The sequence below is a fragment of the Homo sapiens genome, chromosome 7 (genome assembly GCF_000001405.40).
Source record: "Homo sapiens chromosome 7, GRCh38.p14 Primary Assembly".
Taxonomy (NCBI): Eukaryota; Metazoa; Chordata; class Mammalia; order Primates; family Hominidae; genus Homo; species Homo sapiens.
The window spans coordinates 148,210,846-148,227,557 of record NC_000007.14 but is presented as its reverse complement, the minus strand read 5'-3'; the positions used below and the strand labels follow the sequence as shown (position 1 = coordinate 148,227,557).

The 16,712-nt window shown below is 43.8% G+C and overlaps 1 protein-coding gene across 1 annotated transcript in view; it reads right to left on the bottom strand.

Annotated features, from left to right (window-relative positions):
* The window catches only part of CNTNAP2 (contactin associated protein 2), a 2,304,198-nt gene that overhangs the window by 193,441 nt on the left and 2,094,045 nt on the right, over positions 1–16,712 (bottom strand). Inside the window, exon 19 of the mRNA NM_014141.6 lies at positions 10,034–10,270. Within this exon, the coding sequence (NP_054860.1) occupies positions 10,034–10,270 (237 nt within the window). The remainder of the gene's footprint in view (positions 1–10,033; positions 10,271–16,712) is intronic.

The following is a 16,712-nucleotide window of genomic DNA, read 5'->3' as shown; positions in this document are numbered from 1 at the left end:
CCCTGGCTGAGGCAGCTCCACACAGAGCTCCTGGTTCATCCTCACCTGTGCTTTACCTGCACCATCTTCTGCCTGGATTGCAGAAGATGGTGGGTCTTAGTCAGCCTCCTCTTTAAAAATTACTGCTCTTGACCTCATTTCACTCTCAAGTGAGGCCTCTTATCCTTTGCTTTTCTTTGCTCCGAACCCCATGAAAAGAGATGGGTACACTTGCTGCCTCCAAACCCGTCCCTATTTTAGCATGAGCCCTCTGTCTCACTTCTGTCTTCCCTGCTCCACGGTCTCTTGCTGGGCCCGTGACCCTTGGGGAAGTAGAGGCAATTGTCCCTCTCAGGCCTCATCTTCACTCGGCACAGAATTCATTCACCTCCCGGGAACACTTGGCTTCCAGCACACACTCTTTCGGTTTTCCTTCTCTACCTGTTTTTCCCCTCGTTTTGGGGCACCTTACTCTTGCAGTCCCCAAAGACCAGCCCTGAAGCATATTCTCTTTTGTATTCAGGCCTGTTTCCATGGTGATCCTGTTACTGAAGGAAAATCCCAAAGGGTCTGCAGCAAACTTGATCCTTGCCTCCTCAGAGGAAAGAATGCGGCTTGAGGGGCAGAAGTAGGTTTAAGGCAGAGGGAGAGACTGCGGCAAGTTTTAGTAGAGCAGGAGTGAAAGTTTATTAAAAAGTTTTAGAAAGGAAGTGCACTTGGAAGAGGGCCAAGCGGGCGACTTGAGAGATCCAAGTGCCCTGTTTGGCCCTTGATTTGGGGTTTTATACATTGGCATAGTTCTGGGGTTTGGTTTCTTCTCCCCTGATTCTTCCCTTGGGGCGGGCTGTCTGCATGCGCAGTGGCCTGCGAGCACGTGGGAGGGGCTGCATGCACAGGTGTTTACTGAAGTAGTGCGCATGCTCATTTGAGGCATTTTTTTTCCCCTTTCCAGTTGAGTGTTCCTAGAGGAAGGTCATATACCCGTTAAACTCCATCATTTTGCCTCTTAGTGTGCATGCTTGGGCCCGCTTGCCCAACTCCTGAGATCTGATTGGGAAGCTGCTGATCACCAGCTCCAGATGTTTTCTATCTATTGGGAGACGGTCGTTCCTTGGTGCCAGCTGCAGCCAATTATCATTTTAGAGAGAGACAGTTTAGCAACTGCCTGACCATCACCTGATGGTTGTCTGACATTCTTGGTGGTTGGTGGGAGGGGGCACCCTCTTCTGCCCTGCTCGTGTGTCTACCTACCTACTCCAACAATCCTATCCTATGTAGGACCTTTGAATAAGGTGTATGCCCATCAGACACCACATTCATACCCTAGTCAGACTTCTCTCTTGAACTCCAGACTCTTTTTTTTTAATAATAGCATATTTTTATTAATAAGCTACAGAAACACCTGTACTTATCAGCAATCTTCAAAATGATATTCCAGTCAAGAAGTGTGAAATTATCATTTGAAAATTAATGAATAAATTCTAGGAGTAGTTTCTTACTAAGAGTGAGTTAAATAACTTTTCAGCACATTCATTTGAGGAGACACAGTGGCATTGAGGAGACTCTTTCACAAACTGTCTACTTGATATTTTCCCTCAGATATCTTACTGGCAACCCCAAACATAACATATGCAACAGAACATCCATCTTCTCTCCCCAAAAGTATTCCATTGCAGTTTTCCACATTTCAGTGAATTGCCAATTCATCCTTCCAGTTATTCTTGCCAAAAGCCTTGACTGTCCTCTTTCTCCTATATGACATGTGTCATCTGACACCAAGTCTTCTTGGCTTGATCTTCAAAATATGCCCTGAATCTTACCACTTGTCGCCATCTCCATCTCTACCCCCTGGACCAAGCCACCAGTGTCTTTTGCTGGGATTATACTAGCTTTTGTCCTTTCTCCAACCTTCCCTGATCCCACTGGGCCTCTGACCCTGAGATACACAGTGTCCTCACCACACGGTGGTCAGAGTGATCCTCTGCTCAAAATCCCAGTAACTCCCCGTCTCAGAGTAAAAATCAAACTTCTTGCAATGGCTCACCAGGCCCCATATGATCTCCTCATTATTGCTGACCTAACCTCCTGTTACTCTCCTCCTTGCTCACTCCTCACCATCCACATTGGCTTCCTGTTCCTACCCAAGGGCCTTTGCAGTCACCGGTTCTTCTGTTCAGGATGCTCATTCCCCAGGTCTCTGCATGGCTATGCCCTCACTCCTTCAGGTCTTTGCTCTCATGTCCTCTTCTCAGTGATCATTTCTGTGACTTCCTCATTAAAAGTGGAATTTACCCTCTCCTTCCCCTTGGCCAGGCCCTCCCTTTTCTGCCTCATATTTTCCCCATAACAGTTCTTAGCACACAACATACTATAGATTGTACCAATTTGTTTATTGTCTGTCTTCTCCTATTCAAAGATAAGCTCCATGAGAGCAAGAATTTTTGTTTCTATTCTTTATGACTATTCCCAATGTCTAGAATAGTGCCTGATGCACAGTAGGAGTGGAATAAATATTTGTTGAATAAATGACTGAATGGTCTCTGATATGGTTTGGCTGTGTCCCTATCCAAATGTCATCTTAAATTGTAGTTCCCATAATCCCCATGTGCCATGGGAGGGACCCAGTGGGAGGTAACTGAATCATGAGGGTGGTTACCTCTGTGCTGTTCTCATGATAGTGACTGAGTTGTGATGAGATCGGATGGTTTTATAAGGGGCCTTTCCCTCCTTTGCTCTGCACTTCTCCCTCCTGCCGCCATGTGAAGAAGGACGTGCTTGCTTCCCCTTCCACCATTACTGTAAGTTTCCTGAGGCCTCCCCAGCCATGCGGAACTGCGAGTCAATGAAAATCTTTCGTTTATAAATTGCCCAGTCTCAGGTATTTCTTCATAGCAGCGTGAGAACAGATGAATACAGTCTCCCTGCTTCTGTACCGTCTTCTTCCCCATGTTTTCAAAATGTGTAACTGATTATTTTATTGGGTCATTTAAAATCCTTCAAAGCCTTCCAATTCTTTACAGAATAAAGATGTACTTTCCAAATAGCGGTTGCAATGCCCTGTCTGATGTGCATTCCTCCTGCTACTTTATTTTCAAGTCATACCACTCACTGTCACTTTTTACATTCAAACTACCACGAACTTCTCTTATTCCCTAGAAAATACGATCTCCTCCTACCTCAGGGCCTTTGAATATGCTGCTCCTACTTCTTGAGCTGCTTCTCTCTCCACCCCTCAGTGTTTACTCGGTTTTTCCTTTACCCAATAGCATTAAAATAGTCCATTGTTTGGGAATGACGGAGATGATCAGGCAGTTGTTTGGCAACACGCAGAAAAAACACGTTGATTGTCTTAGGTTTTTACTCTCTGCCTTATTTCTGGTGCTCTGACATCATATCATCCCAGCCAGTTTTCTTAAATATACAGCTGCCTTGATTCATCTCTTATTCATTTCTTCAGAACACATATATTTAGTTCCTGTGCAAAGCACAGCTTTTTTTTTTTAAAGGTCTGAAAATAGGCTTTCTGCCTGGTTACAAGTGTAGAGTCCACTTATAACACATACAGCCATGCCCATCCCCTGGCATGGGTCAGGCAATATGTGTGTGGCTCTGAGGATACAAACACACAGAGGCCTAGAGGTCGGAGGAACCGGCAATTATGCAAAACGCTGGACATTTTCCTCTCTGCTGTCACTTTGTCACTGGCCCCTTTATGTTCCTCAGCTCTATTAAAATCAGCATTGTTTTCTCTTTTTTTTCTTTTCTGTCCTTCTTGGACTTTGTAAATATGATTTTAAATTCCTATAACTGCTTCACTTAATGGCAGCAGAAATTATTGGCTTTGAGAAAGAAAGATGAGTTGGAACTTTAAATTTATATATAGTGACTATCTATAAACAGTAATGGTGATATTCTTGAATAATCCAATTTAAATGATGTATTTATTCCTTTCAGATAACAGCAGAAGAGGACCGCTAAATGATGGTAGGAAGAATGCTAGTATTTGTCCATTAAAATAAAACATTATTCAAATGCTGAGGTGCTTCACTTCTGTGTCTCATGTTCATCTCCCAAGTGAATTAAAGCAGTTATAAGGGACTTCTCTTTTATTGGATGCAGCAAATAACATGCTTAACAGATTTATTCTCTCCTGGTCATCATCATTATCATCAGCACACACTTACAGGGTACTGATCGTAGGCAGGAGATGTAGTGCTGGGAGCTTTTCATCTCTCTGGGAAGACAGGGCATATTTATCACAGAGACAGATAACAATACAGTACATTAAATGCCAAACAAATGACATTGAAAGTAAGTGGAATAGGAGTTTAAAGCAAGGAGAAGTCATCAAAAGGAGGTGGGACTTGATCTCAGCCTAGAATGAAAGGCAGGTGTCTGGCTAGAGAGGAAGTTGGGGCATTTCTAGGTAAGGGAGTATTGCAGGCATAAAGTCAGGTGCACATATGACCACAGAGTGCTTGAGGGGTAATGAGTTTCTCAAAACGAAGAGTAGGGGTTGCTGAATATGCGTTAGAATGTAGATTGAATCCGTGGACCTGGGAAATAATAACTGTTGACACATGCATATTGTCATTTGAGTTTCACAACACTCCTGTGAGGGAGACACTATTTTATGGATGAGCAAACAGAGGCATGGAGCTGCCAACTGATTGCCCAAGACAACTGACAAAAGGCAAAGCCGACCTCAAACCCAGACGGTCCAGCTCTACAGGCCACCATCTCACCCATGAGCTTGGTGGGTCTCAAACTTAAAAGTTTGTGGCACTGAGGAGTCTCTCCTGGTTTTGCTGGAGTGGGGCACCACTGAGTGTTTAATAAAGACATTATACAAGATCCCTTTTAAGCAATATCCCTATGCTATGGTGTGAATATCCCCTCCAAAACTCAGGTTGAAACTTAATCCCTAATATGGGTATATTGAGAGGTGAGCCCTTTAAGAGGTGATTGGATCATGAGGACTCTGTCCTCATGAATGGAATGATCCATTCATAGATTCATGGAATGATCCATTCATCGATTCATGGAATGATCCATTCATCGATTCATGGAATGATCCATTCATAGATTCATGGATTAATGGGTTAATGGATTAACAGGTTCTCATGGGAGTGGGACTGTCTATAAGAAGAGGAAGAGAGGCCTGAGCTGGCAGCTTAACCTCGCCATGTCATGCCCTGCACTGTCTCAGAACTGCAGAGAGTTCCCACCAGTAATAAGGCCCTCACCAGGTTTGGCCCTTTGGCCTCAGACTTCTTAGCCTCCATAACTATAAGAAATAAATTCCTTTTCTTTATAAATTACCCAGTTTCACGTATTCTGTTACAAGCAACAGAAAATAAGACACCCTATAAAGGCAGGCGGTGCTGGCTGTGGTGAAAAAGGGTGAGGGGGAGAATCTGGAAGCAGAGAGATGGATTGGGAGAGAATTTCCCAGCCAACAAGCTGAAGCCCACGGCTGTCCTACAGATGGGTGATGGGGTACCAGGAGCAAGGCTCCCCTCACACCGTGGCAGACATGAAGAAGGGGATGGCAGCTGGAGTCACTGGGCAGGTGGCCTCCAAAACATGACCTCATCCATTTACCCTGGTACCATTCAAATATAATAATTTTCTATGGACACCATGACGTAAACACTACTGGGAATTAAAAGATATTTGCCTCAGAGAGTAGTGGTGGGGAGGAAAAGGACACCATGAGTTCAATTCACAGGACTTGTTTGCCTGGGTGACCCACAAAAGCAGGGAAGAACGGAGCACTGGTGAGTGACACTGACCTTGGGAACACAAGTGTCTGATGGGCAGTGGTGGTGCTGGGGGCAGCTGGTTCTGGAGGACAGTGAGCAGAGCTTTCGATATGTGAAATGTGAGTGATGCCAGGGTGTTTAGTGGAGACTTTCTAGTAGCTTTTTCCTGATACTTTGGCGTAGACCTTACTGATGTTTTTTCCTAATGATTTCCTTTTTTTTCTAACTTTAAACTTCAAATAATAAAAACATGTTGTATTTGAAGTCTGAAAAAGCTGAATTTTCACCAGCAGTTTGAGGATAGTCTTGTAACAGTGAGACAGAACCCACCCAGCTTTGCCTTCCAAGAACACTGAGAGTTCCAGAGATGCCTGCCCTGGAGAGTACAGCCGGTGGGGAGCTTTGGGTCTGGAATCGGACACCCAGGCTGAGAAACCCCAGCCTGGCCCAACATCCTCTGAGTGTGCAAGGCACTCAACCTCCATGCACTCATGTGTTGCCATCAGTAGAAAGGAAATAATAATAGTATCTACTTCATAGAGTTGTGCAGCTCATGGGAATTAATGCATGGCACCATTCAGGATGGCTTTGGGCACAAAGTGAGCTTCATTAAATGGTGGCCATTAATACAGAATCCATTGATCAACGCCCTTGAAGACAATGAAAGTCCTCACACAGGCATGAGGGCACAGCAGTGGCAGGTGATGAAGGCACAGCAGCGGTGGGTGTGTAGCAGTGGGCATGTGAGGTAGCGAATACAGTTGAGGACCAAATCTAGTGTGGCAGTGACTCGAGGAGCAGACAATAAAAGTATGTGTGGGAATGTGTTCACCAACTTCTTGACAGTCTCTGGGTGAGAGCCCTCCTCCTGGGGAGGGACCTGAGAAGAAACCCAAGGTTCTTATCTGCCCAGTGGGAGGCTGGTCCATGTGGGTAGTGAACATCAGTGGGTCAAAAAAACCTATTGACCCTGATCCAGGAGAAATAAACTGATGAACTCCTGAAGACCAGGGGCTCCATACTTCTCTCTCTTTCATCCTCACTTTCTGATTTTACTTACTGTTTTCATCTTTCTGATTAAAGCATTTGACATGCATACAAAAGTACTGCTCAGGAGAAAAAAAAATCATCCACAATCCAACCAAACACTTTTGTGTTCACATTATTGCTTTTTTTTTTCTATCCCTATATTTTTTATGGAGCTAATATTTCACATTCAAGGCTGGATCTTGTTCATGTTTTTTTGGTTTAACATACATAAAATTTCCCCATATCATTAATCACGATTCATAAATATTTTAATAGATACATAATATTCCATAAAATGGCAACTCCCTCTTTTACTATTTTACTAAAAGTTGAACTTTCAGATTCTTTTCAATTTTTATTTTCATAGTTAACATTATGATGTTGGCCAGGCACGATGGCTCACGCCTGTAATCCCAGCACTTTGGAAGGCCGAGGCGGGCGGATCACGAGGTCAGGAGATTGAGATCATCCTGGCTAACACGGTGAAACCCCATCTCTACTAAAATTACAAAAAATTAGCCGGGCGTTGTGGCAGGCGCCTGTAGTCCCAGCTACTCGGGAGGCTGAGGCAGGAGAATGGTGTGAACCTGGAAGGCAGAGCTTGCAGTGAGCCGAGATCATGCCACTGCACTCCGGCCTGGGCGACAGAGCGAGACTCCGTCTCAAAAAACAAAACGAAACATTATGATGAACATCTTCATGATGAATCTTTGACTTTTGGCTTATTTCTTTAGGAATAATTTCAGAAGGGGAAAATACTAGGGAACATACTTTTTCCTCCATCTTTTTAAGCAACAGTGCATTTCCTAGAGAGGGAGTTTAATTTACTGTTTTTTTAAAACTCAAGCTGAATTAAGTTAGTAATAACAGTTCTAGCTCCCATGGGAAAAATCTTGATCTCCTTTTTTCTTTTTTTTTAAATTATTTTATTTTAGAGACAGGGTCTTGCTCTGTTATACAGGCTGGAGTACAGTGGCGTGATCATAGCTCACTGCAGCCTTGCACTTCTGGGCTCCAGCAACTTCTGGGCTCCAGCGATCCTCCCCCCTCAGCCTTCTAGTAGCTAGGACCACAGGTGTGCCTCACCATGCCCAGTTAATTTTAAAATTATTTTTGGTAGAGATGGAGTCTTGCTATGTTGCCCAGGCTAGTCTTGAACTACTGGCCTCAAGCAATCATCCTGCCTCAGCCTTTTGAGCAGCTGAGACCACAAGTGTGCACCTTCATGCCCAGTTAATTTTTAAATTATTTTTGGTAGAAATGGTGTCTTGCTATGTCGCCTAGGCTAATCTTGAACTACTGGTCTCAAGCAATCCTCCTGCCTCAGCCTTCCATAGTGCTGGGATTACAGGCATGAGCCACAGTGCCCAGCCAAAATTCTTGCTCTTTAAGATGCCATAACAGTGGAATAATCACTGAAGGGCAGGAAACAATGGGCAGTGGGAGAGAGAGTCTCCATATTTTCGGCTCCAATGGGAAGTGAGTTAGAGAGATTTGTTCCTGCATGCTCTTAAAATATTTTTATTCATTAAAAAAGTGATCTTAGGGCTGACGCAGTGGTTCACACCAGTAATCCCAGCACTTTGGGAGGCCAAGGCAGGTGGATCACGAGGTCAAGAGATTGAGATTGTCTTGGCCAACATGTGAAACCCTGTCTCTACTAAAAATACAAAAATTAGCCAGGCGTGGTGGTGCAGGCCTGTAATCACAGCTACTCAGGAGGTTAAGGCAGGAGAATTGCTTGAACTCGAGGGGCGGAGGTTGCAGTGAGCCGAGATTGCGCCACTGCACTCCAGCCTGGTGATGGAGCGAGACTCCATCTCCAAAAAAAAAAAAAAAAAAAAAAAAGAGTGATCTTAGAATTCTAAGGTATATGAGTTCATTTTCAGAGAGGAAGTGGACTTCTCAAGTTCAGCAAGTTTGTACACTCCAGGGCTTCTTAGATGTCTCTCAGAGGTCACTGCTGAAGGGTCACAAGCCCATTTGCATATTCTCCTCAGGATGCCAATTTTAGGTGCACTCAGATCCTCTCTGGCTTAATGTGTGTTTGACGACCAAGATGGCCCAGGATATTACAAGTAAAAATACACCCCTGGGCCGGGCATGGTGGCTCATGCCTGTCATCCCAGCACTTTGGCCAAGGCAGGAGGATCGCTTGAGTCCAGGAGTTCAAGACCAGGCCTGGCAACATCGTGAGACCCCCAACTCTACAAATAATTAAAAAAATTAGCTGGGAGTGGTGGTATGTGCCTGTGATCCCGGCTACTTGGGAGGCTGAGGTGGGAGGATCGCTTGAGCCTGAGAGGTTAGGGCTGAAGTGAGCTGTGATCCTGCTACTGTACTCAAGCCTGGGCAACAAAGCAAGACCCTGTTTCAAAAAAAATTAAAATAAACTCCTGCTTTAAGCAACCTTTATGACAGGGATACACTTTGTGAATTTAAAGTTCTGAGAGGATTGGGAATGAAGACATTTCTGATTTTCTACTCCTATTGAAAGTTCAGATGTTCTGTAACAACCTACTGGTATACTATCATAAATCAGGATAAAATTAATTTATGTAAAATTAATTTTACTCATTCAAAGCCCATCTCTGTTTAGCACATTTAGTGAATGTATTTATGTTTTATTAGTCTTTCTTATTAGTCTTTTTTTTCTTTTGAGACAGGGTCTCACTCTGTTGCCCAGCCTGGAGTGCAGTGGCACGATCATGGCTCACTATAAGCCTTGACATCTTGGGCTCAAGTGATCCTCCCATCTTGGCCTCCTGAGTAGCTGGGACTACAGGCATGTGCCATCACACCCAGCTAATTTTTGTATTTTTTGTAGAGATGGGGTTTCGCCATATTGGCCAGGCTGGTCTCAAATTCTTGAGCTCAAGTGATCCGCCCACCTTGGCCTCCCAAAGTGCTGGGATTACAGGCGTGAGCCACAGTGTCCAGCCAAATGTGTTTATTTAGTAGGGAGAAAAAATAATCATTACACATGCAAACATATCTCTTATTCATGCAACAGCATTCTTGTAAAGAACGCAACATGCCTCACCAACATTATTACTCTAACACCTTGCTCTAACACACCCAGCTGGCAAGTTGTTTTCCTGATATTCATGGAGAGAAATGGGGTTCAAAGAAGTTATGTGACTTGCTTAAAAAAGCCTATGGGGAATAAATAACAAACCAAGAACAATCTATAGACTCTTGCTAGAACATTCTGTCTGCCCAAATGTTAAATGGCAGAGGCTGGGTATCCTTGTCCTTACCAGTGGGTTTGACGAGGACTGCCAAGAAGTCTGTGGTGAAGGAGCTGATGTAGAGGAGAATGCAGGGCGCCTTGGTGGTGCTGAAGCTGAAGCGGATCTCCTCCTGTGCCAGGTCCGGGTGGGAGTTCTGCTGGTCGGGAGCGTTGTCTACTCTGCTGCTGGAGTCTCTGGCATTTGTTGCTGGTGCCTGAAAGTTATATCGTAGCCACATCCCTTCTTCAAAAAATGCACCAACATCTGTTATAAAGGAGAGAGAGAATTGAAAAATGAGGAGAGGTCTGATGCCGATACCCTACAATGACCTCTCCAGCAGTTCATGGAGTGCAGGCACTGGCTCCAGGAAGGGCATCTGAGTAAGTTCTATGGAGAAAGATGCTATTGCATCAACACAAATACTCTTATCAAAAAAAAAAAAAGCATGTAACAGGGTATGATGTATTAGTCTGTTCCCACGCTGCTAATAAAGACATACCAGAGACTGGGTGATTTATAAAGAGAAAGAAGTTTAGTGGACTCACAGCTCCATATGGCTGGGGAGGCCTCACAATAATGGTGGAAGGCAAAGGAGGAGCAAAGTCATGTCTTACATGGCGGCAGGCAAGAGAGAGCACATGTGCAGGGGAACTCCCATTTATAAAACCATCAGCTCTTGTGAGACTTATTCATTATCATAAGAACAGCACAAGAAAGACCTCCTCCTGTGATTAAATTACTTCCAACCAGGTCCCTTCCACAACATGAGGGGATTATGGGAACTACAATTTGAAATTAGGGTGGGGACAGAGCCAAACCATATCATATAGAAATCTATAAAATTAAAAAAATAGTAAAATTTAAGAAACTTACATTATACCAGAAAAAAATTTCACATACCAAGAAAAAAATTCACATACCCTGAAAAAAATTTCATGTACTCAGACCAAGGAACGAATTGTCAGGTTGAAGAGATATGCCAAAAATAAATCCCTGGTACAGGGAACCCATAGGGGCATCCTCTTTGAGACTGAATTTGCTTGGATATTCATACAGGAAAGCCTTTATAAGCCCTACGTCCTTAGAGACTTTGTGTATAGGGTTTACAATCACATGTCTTGAAGTTAGAGAGAACTGGGTTCAAATTTGGCTCTGCCACTAAATAGCTGTGTGACCTTAGGAGAAGTTACTTAACACATTTTTCTAGGCCTTGGTATTTCATCTATGAAGTGGAGAGTAATTAGTACTCCATAAATAGTATCTATTTTTATTATTATTGAGAAATTAGAAGAAAGAAACCCTTCCTGCATCAGCCTTTTCCTAGAGCCTGAGCAGTGCTTACTGGATATTAGGCACTTCATGGCCAGCAAGCTCCTGTTGCCGGTCTCCCTGCTGTTTGCTCAGCAATGTTCTAAATCACTCCGACTCACTGTGAAGGGCTGTGCCACCTTAGGGATCCTGTGGTCTTCACGGTTTCTGTTTCACGGCCTTCTACAAGGGCCTTGCTGAAAGCATTTCCCACACTCCATCGCCCATGCAACCGTTAATCTCACAACACTTGACATCCCACTAAATTAACACTATGCAGAATATATTGTGCAAAACTGCTCTACGTTATAATTAATGGGAGAGGACAGTTTTTAATAGGAGTCTTCCAACTGGGAATTTTGATGTTTGTTCTTGTTAAAGAGGTCGGCACAGAGCAGCGAAGTCCGACGCCTGGGGGTGTATCTTGCCCTTGTCTGTAGCAGCCGTGTTAACTTGGGTCAATGTCTTGAAACTTTCTCAGCCTCAATTTCGTCCCTAAAAAATGGGACCTCATAGGTGGTTGTGAGGATTAAGTAAACTATATAATACACAGCTTAGTGCCCGGAATATATAAGTGCTCAGGAAAGATTAGTGAACTATTATTACAAAGACAGGTTACCGTTGTATATTGAGGGTGACATGTCCTGGCCCCCACCTCACATCACCACACACATGTGTGAAAGTTGTCAGAATCAAAATGAAGTCACTAATGTTAAAAAAAAAAAAAAAAGAAAGCCCTGAGAAATGGAGCTGGGGAAGGCCATGAATAAATGCCTGATCAAAAGAACTATCACAGAGACTCTGCAAAAAGCACAACATTGCCCAAACACCATTGCAACCTTACACAAAAAAACGGTTCTACAAGAACAACTGCCCTGAATTTGCCTGTCCAAACTTGGACTGGTGTCACCCTTGTTATTGATCTTTGTAGCCAAGGATAATTATTTTAAAACAATTATGTAATCCTCCTCCTTTTTTCCTTTAAAAACTTTTGTCTTCACCTCCCTGAATATGCATGTAGTTAACTATGGCATGCATATTCCCATTGCAATGCTTTATTTCCAGATAAATATCTTATATTTCAGAGATCCTCTTTCTGTTAATTATGTTGACACATATAATCCACCATGGCACTGTTACGGAGTCCATTGCTTCTCACCAAGTTGTAAGGAAAAGACTTAACTATAGCTTTTCAACTATGTGCAGTGCAATTTTCCTCCTGGTCCTCTTACCCCCAAAACTTTTGTAACTGTGTGTGTAGGTGGGGTAGTTGTCAAAATGATTGGGATACCAATGAAATTTAGTGGGCACGGGCAAGGACAGCAGCATGTCCTGCAATGTGTGGGGCTGTCTTATGCAATTAAGAATTCTCCTGGGCGGGGCGCGGTGGCTCTCGCCTGTAATCCCAGCACTTTGGTAGGTCGAGGCTGGCGGATCACGAGGCCAGGAGACTGAGACCATTCTGGCCAACACGGTGAAACCCCGTCTCTACTAAAAATACAAAAATTAGCCAGGCGTGGTGGTAGGTGCCTGTAGTCCTAGCTACTCGGGAGGCTGAGGCAGGAGAATCACTTGAACCTGGGAGGCGGAGGTTGTACTGAGCCGAGATCCGCCACTGCATTCCAGCCTGGCCGCAGAGAGAGACTCCATCTCAAAAATAAATAAATACATAAAAATAAAAAAAGAATTCTCCTGCTCCACATGCCAAAACTATCCTTCTTGGAAAACATAGGATTGAACAGCTACTTAATCCATGCTCATTGCTGCCTGACTTACTGAAGTGTGAAGATGAACAAAATACAATCACTTCCCATGAGAAGATTTCCATCTAGCAGTGGTTGTGGGAGGAGACGCATCAACAGTGTGAGTACAATACAGTGAATGTTATGGCGGTTTATTTAGCAGCTATGTGATGAGAACCCCATCTCACTACCTAAATGTGCTGAGTTAGCTTTCAGCAAACATCTATTGAGCACTGACTGCACCCTGGGCACGATGCTGGGTGCTGACAACTCTTGCTCTGAAGGAGCTCCGGACCTGGAGGAGGATTCAGGTAAACAGATTATTAGAATGCAGAGGGGTAAGTGCAGGATCAGGTAGACACAGGGCCCCCTGGAACACAGGGGTGGTGGAAGACTTGCTGTGGGAAAAGACATCTAAGCTGGGACCTGGAGGGCCAGAGGTGGGTAGCCAAGTACAGGTAGGTGGCGGAGATGAAGACTAGCTTTCTAGCTGAAGGCACAGTGTATTGGCAGTGAGAGGGTCTGAAGTCTGAGGCATCATGCCGCCTGGACAAACTTCACGTGCTTCTTTTTAAGAATCAGTCATTCACTTGAGACCCCCGAGGCTCCCACCACATTTCAGCTGGGTGTTGGGGATCCCGTGAGCAAGGCACAGGTGACCCCTGCCCTCAGTAGTTCAGAGTCTGATGGGGCAGATGGACACTCCTAGGACAGGCTTCTGTAAATGTGTCTAACAGAGGACAGGGGAGGGAGGAGGAGTCAGGAAGGGCAGGCAGGGCGGGCCGCCTGGAGAAAACACACTGAGCAGTTCAGTTTGCCACAGAGAGAGGTTCTGCTAGAGAATGTGGGGGGTCATTACCTGAGAACAGGCTCTGGCGGGGGTGAGAAGAGGTGGACCTGGGACTTGGAGGGAGGGTGGGAGGCAGGCTAGAGATGGAGGCTGGGGCATTCAAATGAATCACAGTGGGGCAGGCAGGATGATGTGCAAGAGAAGACACGCATACCAGGCGCTTGAAATTCAAGACTGAGGAGCACAGAACCTGGCCTAGGGAGGGAAGGGTCTGGGCAGCAGAGACCCCAGCACCTGAGTGACAGGTGCAGCGTGTCACCGGCAAGAACCTCAGCTTCCACCTGTCAGCCTCTCTCCAGTTACTCCATCCCGAAGCCAGAACTGGAGTCAGAGAGCATGTAGAGCTGAGACTCTCACATCATTTCTGTGACCACTTTCCTGGGAGCCTGTTAAAATGCTGGTCCCCAGGCCTAGTCCCAGAATTTAGCTCAGGGGTTCTGGAGAAGCAGCATTTTTCGCAGGTCCCCAGGTGATACTTATGCGCACAAGGGTGTGAGATGCTTGGGGTGAAAGCTGAGGCAGGGTAGTGTACCTGATGGGGCACGAAGCTGAGTGGTCCCCGCCTGGGTGAGACATGATGCGTTTATCAGCTGCCCTGGAGACAGCCATTCCAAGGCAGATCATGAAGGGAGATTCAGCAATCTAGAGATTTCAGATAAACAATCCAAAAATATGCCTCAGAGACTACTTTGGCTGTATTTTAGAGACATCATTAAAAGCTTTATGGATTTATGTCAGTTTTGCAGGAAGGGATATACCATGTTCAAAAGTGTTATTCTGAAACCACATCATAAACCAACTGTTAAAGCAAAGCCTGGGAGTGATGTAAGCCCTCTAAGGCTCCAAGTGGCAGATTTACAGCTGCCATTTCATTGTTTCACATCTCTTTAAGAAAATGCCAAATCAGGGTACTGCAATATCTAAAAGATATTCTAAAAGAAAGCAATTCTCTCATCTCTTCTGAATGAATAACTGAAAATAACTCTAAATTAACAAGCCCAAAATAGCATCATTTCCCTCGTAAAATTATCAAAAAGTATTGATTTAGAATGCTTGGTTTAAGGTTTTGTACTAGTAATATAGATACTAGTAATAGACAATACTAACAGATATAGACAATATAATACTACTATAGATAATGCTAATAGTCTAAGTTTTATAATCATTTTTGATAGAAAAATAATAAATTCTGTATTTAGATATTCTATGATATAAAAAGGATTTGCTTAATTATATCATGTTTCTCAAAGTTTTGAAATACATTATGCCATCTGTGGACTCAGGGTCACAAAGTTGACAGTTAACCTTCAAGTAGACAAATAACCTTGTCTTAACTATTTCTTGGTCCTCATCACAGGTTATATGTAAATTATCCCTGATTGAGGAAAAGAAGTTTGCAGATGTTTGACATAAAATCCACCAATTATTCATTCCAGAATAATAACATAAAGATATTTATCTCCTTGTTTAACCAAATCCCCGAGGCTTACAGTGGGAGAAAAAAAAAAACCCACAAAAAACAGAAACCAAAAGCAAACAACAGCTGGCACTCACTCCTATTATTCAATTGCTCTTCATCTTTCTCTTCTCCAAGTTAAATAATTCTATTCCTTTTGCCTTTTCACTTAGGATTTTGCAACCTATATTTTGCAACCTATATTTTTAAAATTGGCATGATTCTTTTTGTTTTCTAACTTTCCTATCAGGACTCAGAATTGAAAGCTCCCAACTTGCAAATGGGCTCTTTTCCAAAAATTTATTTTAGACTCAGTAACTTGCAACTTGGAAAACTTCCCCACAGAAACAATGTTTTAAATGATGGTGAGTTTGCCAGGAGACTTCACAAATGCTGAGCCACTCTGGTTGTGTAATAAAAGATTACTGAAGAGTGCCACTGTATATTAGTAATTAAAATAGGAAAGCAAAACCAAAACGCCTTCAGGTTTATTCTTAAGGTAAGAACCCCAGGGAACTCTGCTCCCACAGGGATTTCAACGAAGTGACCCAATGGTAAGTTGGTAGATGTTAAGCAACTGGCTTGAGGGGGAGGGAAAAATTCTGATTTATAGTTTTTGCCTATTTCCCATGATGTCAATACTGCCACCTTGTCCGACTTCAAGCTACCAACATGATGTCATTAAATAAGGAGCTGAGAAGCGAGGTCTCCCAGACTGTGCAAGCTGCCTCATGCACGTGCTCTATCCACTCCTTCAGTCAGCAAGGTAGTCGCTCAAGCAAACCACATTTATTGAGCTCCCATTGTGGTGAGCTTCTTTCTTTTTACCTTCTGCTGTAAATAAACCCTTTAATATTTGCTTACTCCTTTCTGTCGCCCAATGCGCTCTCCTACCTCTTCCCAGATATCCTGGATTCTTGAAGCTCTGTGCAGCTTCTGCTAAAGTCTAGGAGGCTCTCCTGGGAGCCAGAACCATGCTAGAGGAGGCATAGAACTGAGCTGCAGCCTCAGGTCATTAACCACTTTCATGGCTGAATTCCATTGCCCAGAATGATCACTCTCATTAACTGCTTTTTAATTAGTCACCTAGTAAAAGAGTTAAGTGAATTTTATGGAGTTCTGCTCCCGGGGACCTTGGACATCATCCTCTGCATGCATCATGATTCTGCATCAGGCAGGCCTGGTTCCTTCCAGGCAATCTGCATGGCACAACTCTGCTTAAACTTGTTTTGTTATTCTCCCAAGATACTGCAATGCTGAAACACAACCAGTTTTTCTCCTGGTCTTACATTGGCAAAATCTGCTTTTTCTCCCCAAGTGTACCACTCTGAATTTCCTTGCTGAATTTTT